At 36.1% G+C, this 21300-nt stretch overlaps 1 annotated feature.

Moving 5' to 3' along the window:
* Window positions 3601-4209: an enhancer, noted in NCBI's record as "H3K27ac-H3K4me1 hESC enhancer chr1:73364724-73365332 (GRCh37/hg19 assembly coordinates)". NCBI's record gives its function as "activates a minimal SCP1, AML or CMV promoter by ChIP-STARR-seq in naive H9 embryonic stem cells {active_cell/tissue: H9 hESC(naive)}" and the evidence as "EXISTENCE:reporter gene assay evidence [ECO:0000049][PMID:30033119]".

Here is a 21300-nt window from a genome sequence, read left to right on the forward strand (position 1 = left end):
CGTGGAATGTTTGCACAACAGAGTACTCTTCAGCCATAAAAATGAGATTCTGTTATTTGGAACAACATGGATGGAATAGGAGGTCATTATGTTAAGTGAAATAAGACAGGTACAGGAAGACAAACTTCACATGTTCTCACTTGTCAGAGCTAAAAATTAAAACAATTGAACTTGTGGACATAGAGAACAGAATGATGGTTACCAGAGACTGGAAAGGTTAGTGTGTTTGTGTGTGTGTGTTTGTGTGTGTGTGTGTGTGTGTGTGTGTGTGTGTGTGTGTGTATAGAAGGGGGGTTGGGGGAAATGGGGTTGGTTAATGGGTATAAAAATATATTTAGATACAATAAATAAGATCTAGTATTTGTTAGCACAACAGGGTGAGTACAGTCAATAATAATTTACTGTATATTTTAAAATAACTCAAAAAGTATAACTGGAATATTTGTAACACAAAGAAAGGATAAATGCTTGAGGGGATGGATACCCCTTTGACTCTGGTGTGATTACTACTCATCATGTGACTATATTAATATATCTCATGTACCTGGTAAATACATACATCTTATATGTACTCACAAAAATAAAAAAAAACATGGAAAATGATAAAAGTTGTAAGAAATGATAGATACATTCAAGAGTTATGTTAAAATGGTGAGTGCTATTATTAAGCAGAAAATTGCATTTCCCTGCATTTTTCAGGAGACGTGTGTGTGTGAGAGTGAGTGTGTATTTTTTTTTAACCGTTATTTGTTAGGGCCACACTCTCCTCTCATCTCTTGTCTCCCTGCTTTTCTCCACAGCTCCTCAAATATGTCTCTACAAAGGACTCTGTATCTATGTACAATCAAAGAGGGGAGGAAATAACAAAGCAAAACAAGAGAAACAATCTCAAATCTGAAAGAGAGAGAGAAAAAAAGGAAAATCCTCCTGTGAGCTGGCAGCAGCTCACTTGTCAAGTCTTCTGCAAAAGATTCCCAACAGAGTTAATATCTCAAAATTAATTCATCCACTTTTGGCAAATGAAATGCTGAGTCAATGCTGGCAGGGTATTTTAGTTGCTTTCCAAGTATTACTTTCAATAAATATACAGGAAAAAACAAGGAAGCCTAATCCAAACCTCTTTCAATATAGACATCTATCTTTTGATACTGAAGAAGTAGGCCTGTAATAAGTCTGGGGTGGTGGTTGCCAATATGATTGAAACATTTTCCATTAATTAAAATTTCAGGGGAAGGAAAAGATAAACACTTGGGGAAAGTGAAACGCTGTATCATTGGAGATTCAGAATACAGATTAGCATTGTAAGGAAATATGTTCATAAATTCTAACATTTTCCAACACTTTTGATCAAATAATTGACAAATATTTATTTGTTCAAATAACTGATCAAATAATCAAATATATTGATCAAAATATCAAAAATCAAATAATTTGATCAAGATATTTTGATCAAATAACTGGCATCTTTCTAGCAGTAACTTTTAATAGCCCATATTATTAGTTCATACTAAAAACTGATATGCATAGTTTACAACTCCATGAAACAGTTTGAGAAATGTTGTGCTTCTTAAGTTTTAACCCATTTGTATGCAGAATACTGATCTTAGAGTAAGGGTGTATTTACAAAATTATGAAAAATCTTTAACTGATTTTAAAAACAATGAGCATGTTCCCAATCTGAAGTCAATGAATTTATCAGAGATCTCGGTTCTTTTGGGCACTAGTGGAAGCTGCCACAATAATTTAGGATATTAATACTCTGGTACTTTGGCAGAAATGTCTTGTAGGCCCATATTGTCCCCCCTCCTCCCACTATCTACTTTGCATTACCACTTCACGTTGAAGTTTATACTGTAAAACATCCCTGTCATTTGGAAATTCATTTTAAGAGACTCAATTTCTGGGAAAAATAAATTCTTATTTCTCAAATACTATAATTCAAATTTCTTAGAGCATACAACTTTAGCTATAGTTAAAATAGAATATTCCAGGACTTTTTTTTATCTATGTTTCTACGAGAGTGACATTCTTCCTTTCACTGTCTAATATGTATATGATATTTTTAGGTAACGTATAAAAATATAAGTTCTAAGAAGTCTGTGGATTTTTTTAGGAAAGTCAATGATTTTTATCTTATACATATATGTATATACATAATAGGCAATATTTCCTGACAAATGTGGCAAAAACTTTTTAAGCAGGTATTACTAATTTATTAGTCCATTTCCAAAATGAAACAATTTTAGGGAAAATATATATTATCTTAGGCAATACACAAGGCATTGAGAATATTTTGTTTGGATAGTTCCTGGCAGGTATTGGAATTATGATGGTTTTTAATAAAGTGTGAATGATTCTAAAACTGTCATTATTGAAAATTACCATTATTATTTTCACACCATTCACTACCTCAATGATGTACAGCTTGTCAAAAGTTCTCCACTTAGGTTAAAATTAGTTGCATTTCAATTGAAGAGCTTTAAAGAAATTAGGATAAATGCATCCTATTATATGAAAGCACAAATTGCCCTTTTTTAGTAATAAGGTATTTTTATTCGTTATCTTACCATAAAAAATCTTATTTAAATAATGAATATTTTGGAAGGTGATAAAACAATTGAGTTCCACCTCTGTGGAAAAAAAGATAGTTTAGTACCAAAAAATCTAGAAATCATTTTTAAAAATCTTGAAACCCTTGCTAAAACTGTACACATTTATGATAATTTATATATATATTAATTTATACTTTCTGTCTATACTATATATGTTTTATATAACATAGGTACATACATCCTTTACTGTTTTACTGGAAGTAAAACAGTCCTTTACTTCCAGTAACAGCAGACCAAATGTCCCACTGAGAAAAACTGGAAAAGCTATATATATACATAAAGATTGTATTTTTGAATATATTTGGGAACAAACAAAATAATATTAATGCAATACTAAAAATAACCCTTAAGAAAGACAGCAACTTGGCTTTCAGTCATCTTAGTCCCTGATACTGTATTTAAGTTATTCTTGATTCCAAATACCAATAAGCATCACAAACAAACCAGTTTTTGAGAAAGACAACATAATCTTAGCTGACGAACTATTTTTTAACATGATTTTGCATTTATAATGACTAGCAAATAAGCAAACAAACAACAAAAATGCAGTCACATGAAGAGTCAAGGCAATATAAATGAGTAATAAAAGAAGCAAAACTAATAAAAAGAGACCACTGGGGTCTTGCCAGCAATTAATCAATTTTATTAGTCTTTGTTCCAAAGAACCAACTTTGAATCTACAATCAAAATATTTTCATTAAGAAAACTCTATACCTGAGGGAGGAGCCAAGATGGCCGAATAGGAACAGCTCCGGTCTACAGCTCCCAGCGTGAGCGACGCAGAAGACGGGTGATTTCTGCATTTCAATCTGAGGTACCGGGTTCATCTCACTAGGAAGTGCCAGACAGTGGGCACAGGTCAGTGGGTGCGCGCACCGTGCGCGAGCCGAAGCAGGGCGAGGCATTGCCTCACTTGGGAAGTGCAAGGGGTCAGGGAGTTCCCTTTCCTAGTCAAAGAAAGGGGTGACGGACGCACCTGGAAAATCGGGTCACTCCCACGCGAATACTGCGCTTTTCCAACCAGCTTAAAAAACGGCGCACCACGACATTATATCGCACCTGGCTTGGAGGGTCCTACGCCCACGGAGTCTTGCTGATTGCTAGCACAGCAGTCTGAGATCAAACTGCAAGGCGGCAGCGAGGCTGGGGGAGGGGCGCCCGCCATTGCCCAGGCTTGCTAAGGTAAACAAAGCAGCCAGGAAGCTCCAACTGGGTGGAGCCCACCACAGCTCAAGGAGGCCTGCCTGCCTCTGTAGGCTCCACCTCTGGGGGCAGGGCACAGACAAACAAAAAGACAGCAGTAACCTCTGCAGACTTAAATGTCCCTGTCTGACAGCTTTGAAGACAGCAGTGGTTCTCCCAGCACACAGCTGGAGATCTGAGAACGGGCAGACTGCCTCCTCAAGTGGTTCCCTGACCCCTGACCCCCGAGCAGCCTAACTGGGAGGCACCCCCTAGCAGGGGCACACTGACATCTCACACGGCAGGGTATTCCAACAGACCTGCAGCTGAGGGTCCTGTCTGTTAGAAGGAAAACTAACAAACAGAAAGAACATCCACACCAAAAACCCATCTGTACATCACCATCATCAAAGACCAAAAGTAGATAAAACCACAAAGATAGGGAAAAAACAGAACAGAAAAACTGGAAACTCTAAAAAGCAGAGTGCCTCTCCTCCTCCAAAGGAACGCAGTTCCTCACCAGCAACAGAACAAAGCTGGATGGAGAATGACTTTGACGAGCTAAGAGAAGAAGGCTTCAGACGATCAAATTACTCTGAGCTATGGGAGGACATTCAAACCAAAGGCAAAGAAGTTGAAAACTTTGAAAAAAATTTAGAAGAATGTATAACTAGAATAACCAATACAGAGAAGTGCTTAAAGGAGCTGATGGAGCTGAAAACCAAAGCTTGAGAACTACGTGAAGAATGCAGAAGCCTCAGGAGCTGATGCGATCAACTGGAAGAAAGGGTATCAGCAATGGAAGATGAAATGAATGAAATGAAGCGAGATGGGAAGTTTAGAGAAAAAAGAATAAAAAGAAATGAGCAAAGCCTCCAAAAAATATGGGACTATGTGAAAAGACCAAATCTACCTCTGATTGGTGTACCTGAAAGTGATGGGGAGAATGGAACCAAGTTGGAAAACACTCTGCAGGATATTAGCCAGGAGAACTTCCCCAATCTAGCAAGGCAGGCCAACGTTCAGATTCAGGAAATACAGAGAACGCCACAAAGATACTCCTCGAGAAGAGCAACTCCAAGACACATAATTGTCAGATTCACTACAGTTGAAATGAAGGAAAAAATGTTAAGGGCAGCCAGAGAGAAAGGTCAGGTTACCCTCAAAGGGAAGACCATCAGACTAACAGCATATCTCTCAGCAGAAACCCTACAAGCCAGAAGAGAGTGGGGACCAATATTCAACATTCTTTTTTTTTTTTTTTGAGACGGAGTCTCGCTCTGTCGCCCAGGCTGGAGTGTCGCCCAGGCGGGATCTCGGCTCACTGCAAGCTCCGCCTCCCAGGTTCACGCCATTCTCCTGCCTCAGCCTCCCAAGTAGCTGGGACTACAGGCACCCGCCACTACGCCTGGCTAATTTTTTGTATTTTTAGTAGAGACGGGGTTTCACCGTTTTAGCCGGGATGGTCTCGATCTCCTGACCTCGTGATCCGCCCGCCTCGGCCTCCCAAAGTGCTGGGATTACAGGTGTGAGCCACAGCGCCTGGCCAACATTCTTAAAGAAAAGAATTTTCAACCCAGAATTTCATATCCAGCCAAACTAAGCTTCGTAAGCGAAGGAGAAATAAAATACTTTACAGACAAGCAAATGCTGAGAGATTTTGTCACCACCAGGCCTGCCCTAAAAGAGCTCCGGAAGGAAGTGCTAAACATGGAAAGGAACAACCCGTACCAGCCGCTGCAAAATCATGCCAAAATGTAAAGACCATCGAGACTAGGAAGAAACTGCATCAACTAACGAGCAAAATAACCAGCTAACATCATAATGACAGGATCAAATTCACACATAACAATATTAACTTTAAATGTAAATGGACTAAATGCTCCAATTAAAAGACACAGACTGGCAAATTGGATAAAGAGTCAAGACCCATCAGTGTGCTGTATTCAGGAAACCCATCTCACGTGCAGAGACACACATAGGCTCAAAATAAAAGGATGGAGGAAGATCTACCAAGCAAATGGAAAACAAAAAAAGGCAGGGGTTGCAATCCTAGTCTCTGATAAAACAGACTTTAAACCAACAAAGATCAAAAGAGACAAGGCCATTACATAATGGTAAAGGGATCAATTCAACAAGAAGAGCTAACTATCCTAAATATATATGCATCCAATACAGGAGCACCCAGATTCATAAAGCAAGTCCTGAGTGACCTACAAAGAGACTTAGACTCCCACACATTAATAATGGGAGACTTTAACACCCCACTGTCAACATTAGACAGATCAACGAGACAGAAAGTCAACTAGGATACCCAGGAATTGAACTCAGCTCTGCACCAAGCGGACCTAATAGACATCTACAGAACTCTCCACCCCAAATCAACAGAATATACCTTTTTTTCAGCACCACACCACACCTATTCCAAAATTGACCACATACTTGGAAGTAAAGCTCTCCTCAGCAAATGTAAAAGAACAGAGATTATAACAAACTATCTCTCAGACCACAGTGCAATCAAACTAGAACTCAGGATTAAGAATCTCACTCAAAACCGCTCAACTTCATGGAAAGTGAACAACCTGCTCCTGAATGACTACTGGGTACATAATGAAATGAAGGCAGAAATAAAGATGTTCTTTGAAACCAACGAGAACAAAGACAGAACATACCAGAATCTCTGGGACGCATTCAAAGCAGTGTAGAGGGAAATTTATAGCACTAAATGCCCACAGGAGAAAGCAGGAAAGATCCAAAATTGACAACCTAACATCACAATTAAAAGAACTAGAAAAGCAAGAGCAAACACATTCAAAAGCTAGCAGAAGGCAAGAAATAACTAAAATCAGAGCAGAACTGAAGGAAATAGAGACACAAAAAACCCTTCAAAAAATTAATGAATCCAGGAGCTGGTTGTTTGAAAGGATCAACAAAATTGATAGACCGCTAGCAAGACTAATAAAGAAAAAAAGAGAGAAGAATCAAATAGACGCAATAAAAAATGATAAAGGGGATATCACCACCGATCCCACAGAAATACAAACTACCATCAGAGAATACTACAAACACCTCTACGCAAATAAACTAGAAAATCTAGAAGAAATGGATAAATTCCTTGACACATACACTCTCCCAAGACTAAACCAGGAAGAAATTGAATCTCTGAATAGACCAATAACAGGATCTGAAATTGTGGCAATAATCAATAGTTTACCAACCAAAAAGAGTCCAGGACCAGATGGATTCACAGCCGAATTCTACCAGAGGTACAAAGAGGAACTGGTACCATTCCTTCTGAAACTATTCCAATCAATAGAAAAAGAGGGAATCCTCCCTAACTCATTTTATGAGGCCAGCATCATTCTGATACCAAAGCTGGGCAGAGACACAACCAAAAAAGAGAATATTAGACCAATATCCTTGATGAACATTGGTGCAAAAATCCTCAATAAAATACTGGCAAAACGAATCCAGCAGCACATCAAAAAGCTTATCCACCATGATCAAGTGGGCTTTATCCCTGGGATGCAAGGCTGGTTCAATATATGCAAATCAATAAATGTAATCCAGCATATAAACAGAGCCAAAGACAAAAACCACATGATTATCTCAATAGATGCAGAAAAAGCCTTTGACAAAATTCAACAACCCTTCATGCTAAAAACTCTCAATAAATTAGGTATTGATGGGATGTATTTCAAAATAATAAGAGCTATCTATGACAAACCCACAGCCAATATCATACTGAATGGGCAAAAACTGGAAGCATTCCCTTTGAAAACTGGCACAAGACAGGGATGCCATCTCTCACCACTCCTATTCAACATAGTGTTGGAAGTTCTGGTCAGGGCAATTAGGCAGGAGAAGGAAATAAAGGGTATTCAATTAGGAAAAGAGGAAATCAAATTGTCCCCGTTTGCAGATGACATGATTGTATATCTAGAAAACCCCATTGTCTCAGCCCAAAATCTCCTTCAGCTTATAAGCAACTTCAGCAAAGTCTCAGGATACAAAATCAATGTACAAAAATCACAAGCATTCTTATACACCAACAACAGACAGAGAGCCAAATCATGAGTGAACTCCCATTCACAGTTGCTTCAAAAAGAATAAAATACCTAGGAATCCAACTTACAAGAGATGTGAAGGACCTCTTCAAGGAGAACTACAAACCACTGCTCAAGGAAATAAAAGAGGATACAAAGAAATGGAAGAACATTCCATGCTCATGGGTAGGAAGAATCAATATCGTGAAAATGGCCGTACTGCCCAAGGTAATTTACAGATTCAATGCCATCCCCATCAAACTACCAATGCCTTTCTTCACAGAATTGGAAAAAGCTACTTTAAAGTTCATATAGAACCAAAAAAGAGCCTGCATCGCCAAGTCAATCCTAAGTCAAAAGAACAAAGCTGGAGGCATCACACTACCTGACTTCAAACTATACTACAAGGCTACAGTAACCAATACAGCATGGTACTGGTACCAAAACAGAGATATAGATCAATGGAACAGAACAGAGCCCTCAGAAATAACGCCGCATATCTACAGCTATCTGATCTTTGACAAACCTGAGAAAAACAAGCAATGGGGAAAGGATTCCCTATTTAATAAATGGTGCTGGGAAAACTGGCTAGCCATATGTAGAAAGCGAAACTGGATCCCTTCCTTACACCTTATACAAAAATCAATTCAAGATGGATTAAAGACTTAAACGTTAGACCTAAAACCATAAAAACCCTAGAAGAAAACCTAGGCATTACCATTCAAGAAATAGGCATGGGCAAGGACTTCATGTCTAAAACACCAAAAGCAACAGCAACAAAAGCCAAAATTGACAAATGGGATCTAATTAAACTCAAGAGCTTCTGCACAGCAAAAGAAACTACCATCAGAGTGAACAGGCAACCCAGAAAATGGGAGAAAATTTTCGCAACCTACTCATCTGACAAAGGGCTAATATCCAGAATCTACAATGAACTCAAACAAATTTACAAGAAAAAAACAAACAACCCCATCAAAAAGTGGGCAAAGGACATGAACAAACACTTCTCAAAAGAAGACATTTGTGCAGCCAAAAAACCCATGAAAAAATGCTCACCATCACTGGCCATCAGAGAAATGCAAATCAAAACCACAATGAGATATCATCTCACACCAGTTAGAATGGCAATCATTAAAAAGTCAGGAAACAACAGGTGCTGGAGAGGATGTGGAGAAATAGGAACACTTTTACACTGTTGGTGGGACTGTAAACTAGTTCAACCATTGTGGAAGTCAGTGTGGCAATTCCTCAGGGATCTAGAATTAGAAATACCATTTGACCCAGCCATCCCATTACTGGGTATATACCCGAAGGACTATAAATCATGCTGCTATAAAGACACATGCACACGTATGTTTATTGCGGCATTATTCACAATAGCAAAGACTTGGAACCAACCCAAATGTCCAACAATGACAGACTGGATTAAGAAAATGTGGCACATATACACCATGGAATAGTATGCAGCCATAAAAAATGATGAGTTCATGTCCTTTGTGGGGACATGGATGAAACTGAAAATCATCATTCTCAGTAAACTATAGCAAGAACAAAAAACCAAACACCGCATATTGTCACTCATAGGTGGGAATTGAACAATAAGATCACATGGACACAGGAAGGGGAATATCACACTCTGGGGACTGTTGTGAGGTGGGGGAGGGGGGAGGGATAGCATTGGGAGATATACCTAATGCTAGATGACGAGTTAGTGGGTGCAGCTCACCAGCATAGCACATGTATATATATGTAACTAACCTGCACAATGTGCACATGTACCCTAAAACTTAAAGTATAATAAAAAATAAAAAAAAAAGAAAACTCTATACCTGGATGTCTATACCAGTGAATTATACCAATATTTAAGGAAGACAAATTATACAAAGTCTTCTAGAGTAAAGAACAAAAAAAAAATGTATCCCCAAACATACTCTGTGAGCTAGGTATAACCTTGATAACAATAACCTAACAAGAATTTTAGGAGAATGGAAAATTGTAGGTTGTTCGTACTTATAAACATAGATGTAAAACCTTTTTAAAAAGTCAAAGTCAACAGAATTAATCTGGAATGTATAAAAATAATAGTACATCACAGAAAAATTGAAATTATTACACGGATTTAAGGCAGGTTCTATGTTAAATATCAATCAATGCAATACACATTTACATCATAAAGGAGAAAAAAATTGATTATTTCCATTGGTTTAGAAAAATATGAAACAAAGTTATAAACCAATTCATAATAAACACCCTCAGAAAACTTCTTTCTATGGAAATTCTGAGGGAACTTTCTTTTATTCACAATTATAGCAAGGGTATTAAAATTATAGCAAAGCCATATTTATGTTAAAGTAGTGAAAAGTTTTTTTCTGTGATAACAGAAACTAAACAAGAATGTCTGCTGTTACCTAACAAATATCATTTTATTAAAAATGTAATTACGAGCCATCCTACCAGACTAAATTTGTTATATTTCAATGGTTTCAACATGAACTGTGAACAACTGATGGCAGAAAAGATGGTACACAATTAGCTTTGTAATGAAGAACATTTTTGCACTTATATTAAAGAAAATTGATAAGAAGCTTCATGTATTCTTGAATTTAGTGAGTCATTGATTAATTTTTTTATTTTGCTTTCGATCTTTCAAATTTTATACAATTATTAAACACTCAAATTTTCTAATAAAATATTTGTAGCTATCAAAAGAGTATAAATATTCTCCCAATTTCGCATAATACTATATGACATAAAATACTTTTAATTAAATAAAAAGTCCATAATCTTAGCATCTGGTACATAGAAAATTTCCATTCATAACATAATCAGGAGTTTCTCTGTACCAACACTTCTTGCTTAGAAAGTGTGCTAATTCAATCAATAATTACTAATTGAGTCTATTCTGTGGATTATAGTCCCTTCTCTTAAGAAGACAGCACTCATAAAGGGAGAAAAGTGTGAAAAGTACAAACATAACAGTAATATAACATAGAAAATGAAAAGCGCTATTAGAAAGGAACAGAGAAAGGGGCACATATGTTCAGAACAATGAGAGATTTCATTAGGTAAAGAGATGAGTCAGAGCTGGTTACAAATGCCATGTTTAATATCTATTGAATATATCCTTTACAATTCTTACTCTGCTTAGTGGAAGTTGGAGTAAGATGGTCTTTATCAACAATTCATGAAAATTCAAAATTTGTCTTTTCCTTGATCTATGATATCTAATAATGTATTTTCTCTCAGATAAATAGTATGCTCCGCTAGATGTGAAATACGTGTTTCAGAAAGGTTGTACATAAAGTATGGTTTCATTACATTATAATTTAAAAGCTTTAAAATATTTTCAGTGTTGTTTTGGGACCCTGTCAGGGACTATTTTCAGTAGGCAAGAGGGAAGTACTCGTCGGCAGGGCTCCCTGTAGACCTCTTCCTTCACAGGAGAGAACTACTCAAATTTCATCGCTTTTACATATCCAATAGTCTTCATAAAATTTTACTTTCATTTTGGACAACAGGTTTTCTGGTCAAAAAAAAAAAAATGAAAGAAAGAAAAATAAATTAAAAGCCCCCAAAACGTGCAGTCTATTCACTTGCTACTTATAGAAACACTGACTATCTTAATTGCAAAAAAATGGACACTTGTCATCAGTGTGCTTTTGGGGGTTTCATTTGAAGTTCCTCTTGAATGCCAGTACTTGGAATCCTGCCTTACCTTCCCAATACTACTAAAATATCTGTCATTAATCTCCTACTTTCAGAATATGTGCACTTCATCATTCATGCATTCAACAAAAAGGTATTTATATCTACTATTTGGCAGATACAGGTAATACATTGGTGGGGCAAAAAAGACACTCCCTGGTAACTTTCTCCCTGATTTCAAACACTTCTTTTCAAACTAAAACTTCAATCTCTGCTGCTGGCCATACCTGACTGTGACTTCTTACCTCATTTTTCTTGCCTTATTGTTTTTATTTACTTCAACCTCTCACATCAGCCTTTCTCATTGTCTGTGATGAAGACTTTTTGGCTGCCCTAGACACACCAGGTCTTATTACTGTCTCCATCCTTAAGATGGAGACTATTGTTCTTACAATAATCTGTTTCTACATCTCCCCCACCATTAAAACATTTTTTAAAGATTTGCCAAAACTCAAGTTCTACTTCTTCACTTTACTTTTTCCTTTAGCCACTCCAATAAAATGCTAATAAATAAATCACTTTGGTCAAATCTTCTGCTCAAATCTGCCAATTTCATCTTGAAAAACCCAACAGATAATAATTTCTGATATTAGTTAACCATTAGTTAACCTCTCTTCAGCATTTTCATTGTCAATCATTCATTTTTCAAGAGACACTTTTTTCAACTTCCCTTTAGAATACTACCATCTTGAAATGTTTTTCCTACCTTGCTACCCACCTTCAGTGTACTTTCCTGGATGGGCACTCCTCAACACCTCAATAGTGGAGAGTCTCCATGCTCAGTCTTATTCCTGTTCCCCTTTATATCTGTATTAAAAAATTTGGTGATCTCCCCTAGTCCTATGGATTTAATACCATCTACAAATTGATTACTCAAAAATTCACATAAAGAAACAGACTGATCAGACTGATGTATAGAAGATTTAGCATGTTCAGGATAAAACTCTATATTTTCTCATCCATCCATACACACACACACACACACACACACATACACACACACACACCCTTGATCCTTTTTAAAGGTTCTGTAAGTGATAGCATATCACCCAGTTCTCAAGCTAAGACCTAGCAGTTACTGCTAATTTCTCTTTTCTCATAAAAGTCTCTTCAGTGAGTTGTTCTAACATAACCTCTCCCTCTTTTATTGCCCCACTCTACTCAGTTATTATGATTTATCATTATACACTGATCATTACCTGAAGTAATAGTAGAGTTTTAACGTTTACTTATTTATTTTTTTCTCCACCTTTAGAGTGCACCTGGAGGGCAAGGACATTGTCTGTATTTTCTGAAAGTATTCTCAGAACCTAGAAATTCTGGCATATTACAGGCACTGAATAAGTCTTCATCGAAGGAATAAATGTGTATGCAATGGAGATTTGAATATATAAGCATATAACTATGTAGGTACCATCTATTTTTCTGTTAATGTTTTCCCTACCCATCTGGTTGTCTCCCAACATTTGCAGAGTAAAATACCTCTTAATCCTTTGTCTGTACTAAAATAGGCTCTTTGAAGCTTTTTTGGATTTCTCCAGGAAGTTGTAGGTGCTTACACTGTTAGGATTCTACACCTTGCACAAATCTTTACTGCTGCAGTGATAGTGTGTGCTGCAATTTTGTGTTTTATATCTTTTTCACCTATAGTATATATGTTTTTCCAAGGCTCTGGCTTCTGCATCTGTGGATTCAACCAACAATGGGTCAAAAATATATTTAAAAAATGGATGGTTGCTCCTGTACTAAACATGTACGGACTATTGTTTCTCGTCATTACTCTTAAAACAATACAGTACAACAACTATTTAAATAGCTTTTAATGAATTTTTAAAAATATTTTTACTTTTAATGTTTCCTGAAGCTTGTTGTAATACTGTAACTCTGTCTTAGCACTAGTATTTCCCAGAAGTCACTAAAAGTCCCTGAAAGTCCAACTGACAGAAAAGATGAATTTGATTAAAAGGAAAAAAATACAGAATTCAGCATACTTGAACAGTATGCTGATGCATTTTTTTATCTTTCTTTTTTAAAATTATACTTTAAGTTCTGGGATACATGTGCAGAACGTGCAGGTTTGTTACATAGGTATACACGTGCTATGGTGAAACCACCATAGCTGCACTCATCAACCCATCATCTACATTAGGTTTTTCTCTTAATGCTATCCCTCCCCTAGCCCCAAACTCCGCCGACAGGCTATGGTGTGTGATGTTTCCCTCCCTGTGTCCATGTGTTCTCATTGTACAGCTCCCACTTACGAGTGAGAACATGTGGTGTCTGGTTTTCTGTTCCGGTGTTAGTTTGCTGAGAATGATGGTTTCCAGCTTCATGCCTGTCCCTGAAAAGGACATGAACTCATCCCCTTCTGTGGCTGCATAGTATTCCATGGTGTATATGTGCCACATTTTCTTAATCCAGTCTATAATTGATGGGCATTTGGGTTGCTTCCAAGTCTTTGCTACTATGAATAGTGCTGCAATAAACATACGTGTGCATGTGTCTTTATAGTAGAATGATTTATAATCCTTTGGGTAATGGGATTGCTGGGTCAAATGGTATTTCTGGTTCTAGATTCTTGAGGAATCACCACACCGTCTTCCACAATGGTTGAACTAATTTACACTCCCACCAACAGTGTAAAAGCGTTCCTATTTCTCCACAACCTTTCCAGCATCTGTCTTTTGTTGTTTCCTGTCTTTTTAATGATCACCATTCTAACTGGTGTGAGATGGTATCTTATTGTAGTTTTGATTTGTGTTTCTCTAATGACCAGTGATGATGAGATTTTTTTCATGTTTTTTGGCTGCATAAATGTTTTCTTTTGAGAAGTGTGTGTTCATATCATTCGCCCACTTTTTGATGGGGTTTTCTTTTCTTTCTTGTAAATTTGTTTAAGTTCCTTGTAGATTCTGAATATTAGCCCTTTGTCAGGTGGATAGATTGCAAAAATTTTCTCCCATTCTGTAGGTTGCCTGTTCACTCTGATGATAGTTTCTTTCTGCTGTGCAGAAGCTCTTTAGCTTAAGTAGATCCCATTTGTCAATTTTGGCTTTTGTTGCCACTGCTTTTGGTGTTTTAGTCATGAAGTCTTTGCCCATGCCTATGTTCTGAATGTCATTGCCTAGGTTTTCTTCTAGGGTTTTTATGGTTTTAGGTCTTATGTTTAAGCCTTTAATCTATCTTGAGTTAATTTTTGTATAAGGTATAAGGAAAGGGTCCAGTTTCAGTTTTCTGCATATGGCTAGCCAATTTTCCCAACACCATGTATTAAACAGGGGATTCTTTCCCCATTGCTTATTTTTGTCAGGTTTGTCAAAGATTAGATTGTTGTAGATGTGTGGCGTTATTTCTGAGGCATCTGTTCTGTTCCATTGGTCTATATGTCTGTATTGGTACCAGGACCATGCTGTTTTGGTTACTGTAGCCTTGTAGTATAGTTTGAAGTCAGGCAGCGTGATGCCTCCAGCTTTGTTCTTTTTGCTTAGGGTTGTCTTGGCTATATGAGCTCTTTTTTGGTTACATATGAAATTTAAAGTAGTTTTTTTTTTCTAATTCTGTGAAGAAAGTCAGTGGTAGCTTGATAGGGATACCATTGAATCTATATATTACTTTGGGCAGTACCCATTTTTACGATATTGATTCTTCCTTTCCATGAGCATGGAATGTTTTTCCATTTGTTTGTGTTCTCTCTTATTTCCTTGAAGAGTGGTTTGTAGTTTTCCTTGAAGAGGTCCTTATATAGATTTTACATCGTATTAGGTATAAGTAATATAGAGATGATTTAAAATATACTGGAGGTTATGCATAAGTTATATGCAAATACTATGCCATTTTATAAGACTTGAGCATCTGTGGATTTTGGTATTTGAAGCAATACCCTGTGAATACTGAAGGGTGACTGTATACATTTTTCTTCATTTTCCTGGCACATAAAAGACACTGATGAAAATATACATGATGAAGAAATGAGATTTAAAATGCTTTCTATTAAGATGTATTAGAGAGATACAACTGAAACTCATTCCACAGAGTTTATTTCTCAAGGAATTTAAATAATTTCTTTTCAATAGGCTCTGATGGACATATATTATTTTGCTCTGAAAGAAGCATTCAACATTACAATAAAGGGTTGTCCCTTACTCTGCTGAGAGAGATGTCTTCCTAGTTTCTAAATGCTAATTTCTGTCTAGAGATGATTTCTGAATAAGATAAAGTACTTAATACATGCTGGGGCAAAGCAATATGTGAAGAACTCGATTAAGTCTGAAAATAAGAATAGAGTTTTCCATTGGATTGATCTATTCTCCCAAAATGGAGAATTAAGCTGCTTGTATAATACTCATTGATAATTTGCCTATAGTTTCATAGGCATTTAACAACACAATAGGAACAATAAGACACTTATAAGATTATGTAAAATTTATATGAATGTATCCCCTCGTTAAAAAATACAGAATATAGAAGTCTATATCAAATGATGTGAAAACTTTAGTTATAGAGTAACGGGAACTAAATGATAAACAAGGTTTTAAGGAAAGGATGGCAGTGCTTCATTCCTTATATTTCTGTTAAAGGATATTTTAGTTTACTCAATGAATCTCTGTATTCTGCTCTACTATCTGTCCTCTAGAGAAGAGTTAGTTATAAAATTGGTAACATTGGGTATATATATATTTAAAAATATAAAAAATGGTGCAAATTTAGCTCAATTGACTCAATCTTCTGTATATTTCCTGCCACATTGATGAATAGACAGACAGTGAGCTCTTTACCCCCACAGAGTAAACATAGTTGTGTCTCAGCCCAGAATCTGCCTGTCAAAACAATCTGAAAGATTGCTTCCTTCTTGTCATTTTATTTTCTGACCTGGCAAGCTTAGAAGCTGGCTGGCAGTGGGTACCACATCGTTCCCGAAGAGACTCTACAGTCCCAACTTCCCTTACGTGTGGGAACCAAGTTCTGTTTTGTGTGAAAAGAAAGTGGGTAGCTGCAGAAAAAAATAGAAAGTTTAAGTTGTGTTTGTTGTCTATACTGATTTCCCCATTCCAACTTCACTAATAATAAAGCTATTACAATATTTTAGTCTTTATCTGGCTTCTTATGTCTCTTCTTATCGAACATCGTCTGAGAAACATGTCAGAATCTTGGTCTAAAGTCATGATTAGTTACTGACATTCTAAATAAAATAATTTGCAGTTACCAGATATAGGAGATGACAGTCATAGGACATAAAGTAACTAGCATTTAAGACAAAAGACAGGGTTCCAGAAGCCATAAATATGCCAACATAAGTGAGGCAGTCTAACACTGGAGAAAATATATAGCTACATTTTCACAGTGATAGAAAACACACCTAGAACCAGAACCAAAATTCTAGTATGAACCCAGAGCCCAGAGCCTCTTCCGGTCTCCATTTCCCCAAGTATAACCATTTTTCTCTGACTTTAACAGACTAGATTGGTATTTTGTTTTGTTTGGTGTCTTAAAGATGCTTCTTGGAATGTGACAATTATATGAAAATATATCTCACCCTTCTTGGGTTAAATTGATTTTGTTCAATGGATACAGATTAATTATCTTGGCTGTTTAATTTTGCAAAGCTTGCTCAGGTTCCACAGAAAAGCAAGAAAAATTTTGAATAATATGAAAACGATGTCTTCAAAACTACTAAAATACAACTAGGGGCGTATTTGCTTATAAATAATAGCATTGGATAGTAGAAAAAAATACTACCTTTGGAGTTCACAGACTAGAGAATGTTGTTCAAATTACTGCATCTTTGAACTTTAGTTTTACCATCCATTCCCTCAACAGATGTAATAATACAGATTATTGTGGGATTATTGTGAAGATTAAATGAGAAACCTATGTGAAAGCTCCTTGATTACTTTATTTATTCAGGGAGATTTATTTGAACTTAAATGTTATTTGATGTTGATGACTCCCATAAAATTTGTGATACACATTAGGAGAATGATTGTAGAAAATAAGTTATGGTTTCATGTATGAATTTGGTTGAATGTAACAATGATTTTCAAAAATTTAAAATATTCTTCACTAGAGAAAATTTTCTGATGTTAAATTACATACTGGGCATTTTCAGTATGGTTCTCTTGGTTTCCACAGAGTATAAATTTTAAAAGAATAAATAATTCCCGGGGTTTTTTATTTCAAGCTTTGTCTTCTGAAGTTCCTTTGATGAATATTGTATTTATAGGCTCTGATGGCAGCCAGTTTAAAATATAAGGTTTCTCTAACTGCCTCTTTCAACTGTTGCATTAGAAATGTTCAGAGAACTGGCAGCACAAAATAGCATGATTTGCATTCAATGCAGTATCTGCACAGTCAAACTTTCAAGTCTTAATGAAAGGTCATAAAATCTTACAGTACTGACCGAATAGATTTCCTAGAACACTAAATCCCTCATGAATTCTCCTGTACCACTTTAAACACAAGTTAAAATTGCAAATCATAAATACTGAATGCTTTTTTCCTTAATGTAAGTTCACTATTATAACCTTGTCTGGCAGAGATGCTCCACTTAAAGGTCTGCAACATTTTCATTATCAGCTCCATCTCTGAGGGGTTGGTAATGCACCTGTTTCTGTTTGTAATGGGTTGAAAATGCTTATACTGTTTTTTTTCTTTAAGTCGGCTGCTAGTGTAGCTCTTTCTGGGTCCTCAAAGCAAATAAAGTTTCTTTAGTTTTCAGTTGTCTTTTCCATTACTACCCAGTTAAAAATACAATTCTGGACTGAAACGTACTTTTCTGTTAATAAGTTTTATCTAGAGTTTTATTCTTCTAATATATTGGGTTGCTTCATTGTGTGTATATATATGTATGCATGTGCATATGTGTGTGTGTATGTGTATACATATGAACAAACAGTATTTCCTCAAAGCTTAATATTTTTGTGGTAGAAGAGATTTTAAAAAAGACTCCCATTAAGATGCATGAAATACCTCCACAAATTAAATTCCCTACTTGAGTGGGAAGAGGAGACTTCTAGTAGTATGAAGTGTGCTTGAAGCATACAAAATAATAAAATGTTCTAAATGATATTGCATTTTCACAGAAGCAATAGCTTCACTTGTTAATGAGACTATATAAAATACATTTTTGAATGAAGTGAAATATTAATAGGAAATCAGTTTTACTTCTGTGCTATGTTCATGTCTTTGCTAAAATGCACTTAGTCTCAGCAATGCCTCAGGATCCCAGGCTGGGTCCTCTATCTAAGAAACCTAAACCACTACAGTTACCAAGATATTTTGAGCTCTTCATCAACCTATTGACAAATATAACAGGAGAAAGATGCTGAATGGCCAACGAGGGGGCTCACTGGATGGCTGCATAGTCCCTGAGTTCATCTCTGAAGTATTGCATGATTGTGTAAAGATATTTGTTATCAGAGACAAAACCCATCATCCCATTTTCCATGCCTTCTTAAGTTCCTGGAAAAATTTACTAGAATAAAGAGAATAACTTTATTCTCAGAAACTTGGAAGGATTTACTGACCACCCACATTCACCCAGCCACGACAGTCAGGTAATGACCTCATCTAATACATATGAAAAGCAAACCCCAATATTATAATACATTCTTTCATCATCTCCTAATTCCACTAATTGCTGTCACCAGATAGCACACAGGTTAGGAGATTGTTTTTGATGTTACCCTGTCCAGACACTATTTCATTCTTTGATGTTCTAAGGTTGACAATATCACAAAATAAGCCACATTTAGAAGACTTAGGGCACCACACCATATACCATATATTTGAAGTTGTGTGGATTTAATATATTATGTAAAAAGCTTATAAAATACTGTATTCTTGATTAATTAACTCTAGGCAAATATTTTGCTAGATTTAAGAAAACAATATAAGTAGTTATTTTTGGAAAGAAACAAGTAGGATTAAATTAAATTTCATAGAAAATAAATTGATGCCTATTTTAGATAGTTTTACTTTGAGAGCAAAATGCCAAATTTCTATCAGGGTTGAGTTGTGCAAGAGCCAAAGTTTTCTGTCCAGGTGAATTTATGTCAATTATTTTTGAATATCTAATATTATTACTCTTAGGTCTCTACTATAACAGACCTCCATGACATATGTGTTTATAATAATGTGTTATATAGGTTTGTGCAAAAGTAATTGTGTTTTTACCATTAAAAGTAATGGCAAAACCCATAATCACTTTTGCATCAACCTAGTATATATATGTGTGTATACATTACATATATATATGATACACACACATACGTATGTATTTGAACTTGCCACAAAAATAAATAGCTCCTGAGCTTCCCTTGGAAGACATTCTGCAATCTAATGTCACTTGAAATCTTTTCCTTTATTTATCAAGTAACAACTTAATTATTCTTTCTATTTCTTTTACTGAAATGCTTGAAGCTCTAATAGATTCTGTCTTATCAATTCAGACGGAATAGTAACTGTGGTACAGAGTCAGAAAAGAAGCAATTGGATTTACCAGGGGCTCTTTTAAGACCTTTATTTACACACTAGGTAAATGTGAAAGGTCCTCATTGGGTCCCTTTAGTCCTATTTCCCTCCTCTACTTCTATCACTGGGACGGTAACGTTCTGACCCTGCAATCCACTTCTCTAGCTTAGGTAAGTTATTTCACTCATTTTCTCCATTACCAAGTTGTGCCAGTGCTTAATGCTGTGGTCAAGGGCATGCCTAACTGTCCTTTTCTACCTGAGTTGGAAGTGCTAGACACTTGTGATTACTCCTCCCTTCACAGTTAGGGTAATTTGCATTTTGGCTGGCTGCCCTGCCAGAGACGCAGGGCTGCTATGCTCAGCCATGAATAGAAGTTAGAGATCACTGGGCTAGTATAAAGGGCTTTCGTTCAGGAAGAAGCCTGGACCATGAATACACATTTTTATAAGATAAGCTTGGAATCTTTTGACATTGCGAGTTTTTTTTTTTTTTTTGGGGGGGGGGGAGGTGCGTGTGTGTGTGTGTGTGTGTGTGTGTGTGTGATGTGAGTATATATGACATGCCTTACTTAGTAAGTTGTAAGTCCATTGTAGGTACGACATGTAAAAATAAGTTAGCTGATCTCAATGGCCTTTCTCTTCCCTTTACCATCTTTCTTTGGTATTGTTTGTCTCATTACGGAGATCTAGAAGCCTTCCTCTTCCTTATAGCAGTAACACTGTCTTCTTCTGCTGGGCCGTGTGTATTTTTGACTAGTAGACTTTTGTTCTAATCTTTATTTTCTGTTCACGCTGATGCTATGAAATCTGGTCTGAGGTAGGTATTCCGTAGAAAAATCTAATAAAAAAACATTTTAAAATGTGTTAATACAATAAAATTAAATATTAATACATGCTTATATATAACTTAATAGGTGTTAGCTACCAAAAACAAGGCTTAAAATGATGATATACTTAGTTGAAAGATATCACTTTTCAAAGAATAAATGGGAGAAAAAAGGGTTAATCTAATCATTCAAATCAACTAAACATCATTTATTTCTTTACCTGTGTCATTCTGGGAGAATTTTCTTCTCTCCCTGCTAGTTCATCACTCCAACTCAAAATTGACTATTATCTTTATATGTATAGTAAATAAAATTTAGAAAGCTATGACTTTAACTTATTCGTATGACACCTAAAATCACATTATACATTTCCTAGTGTATGCATACCACAGCTTAAGAAACTTTCTTTTATTTATAATGTGGCCTATTGGCCCTCCAGGGAAAACAGGAAATCCAG

The sequence above is a fragment of the Homo sapiens genome, chromosome 1 (assembly GCF_000001405.40).
Source record: "Homo sapiens chromosome 1, GRCh38.p14 Primary Assembly".
Lineage (NCBI taxonomy): Eukaryota > Metazoa > Chordata > Mammalia > Primates > Hominidae > Homo > Homo sapiens.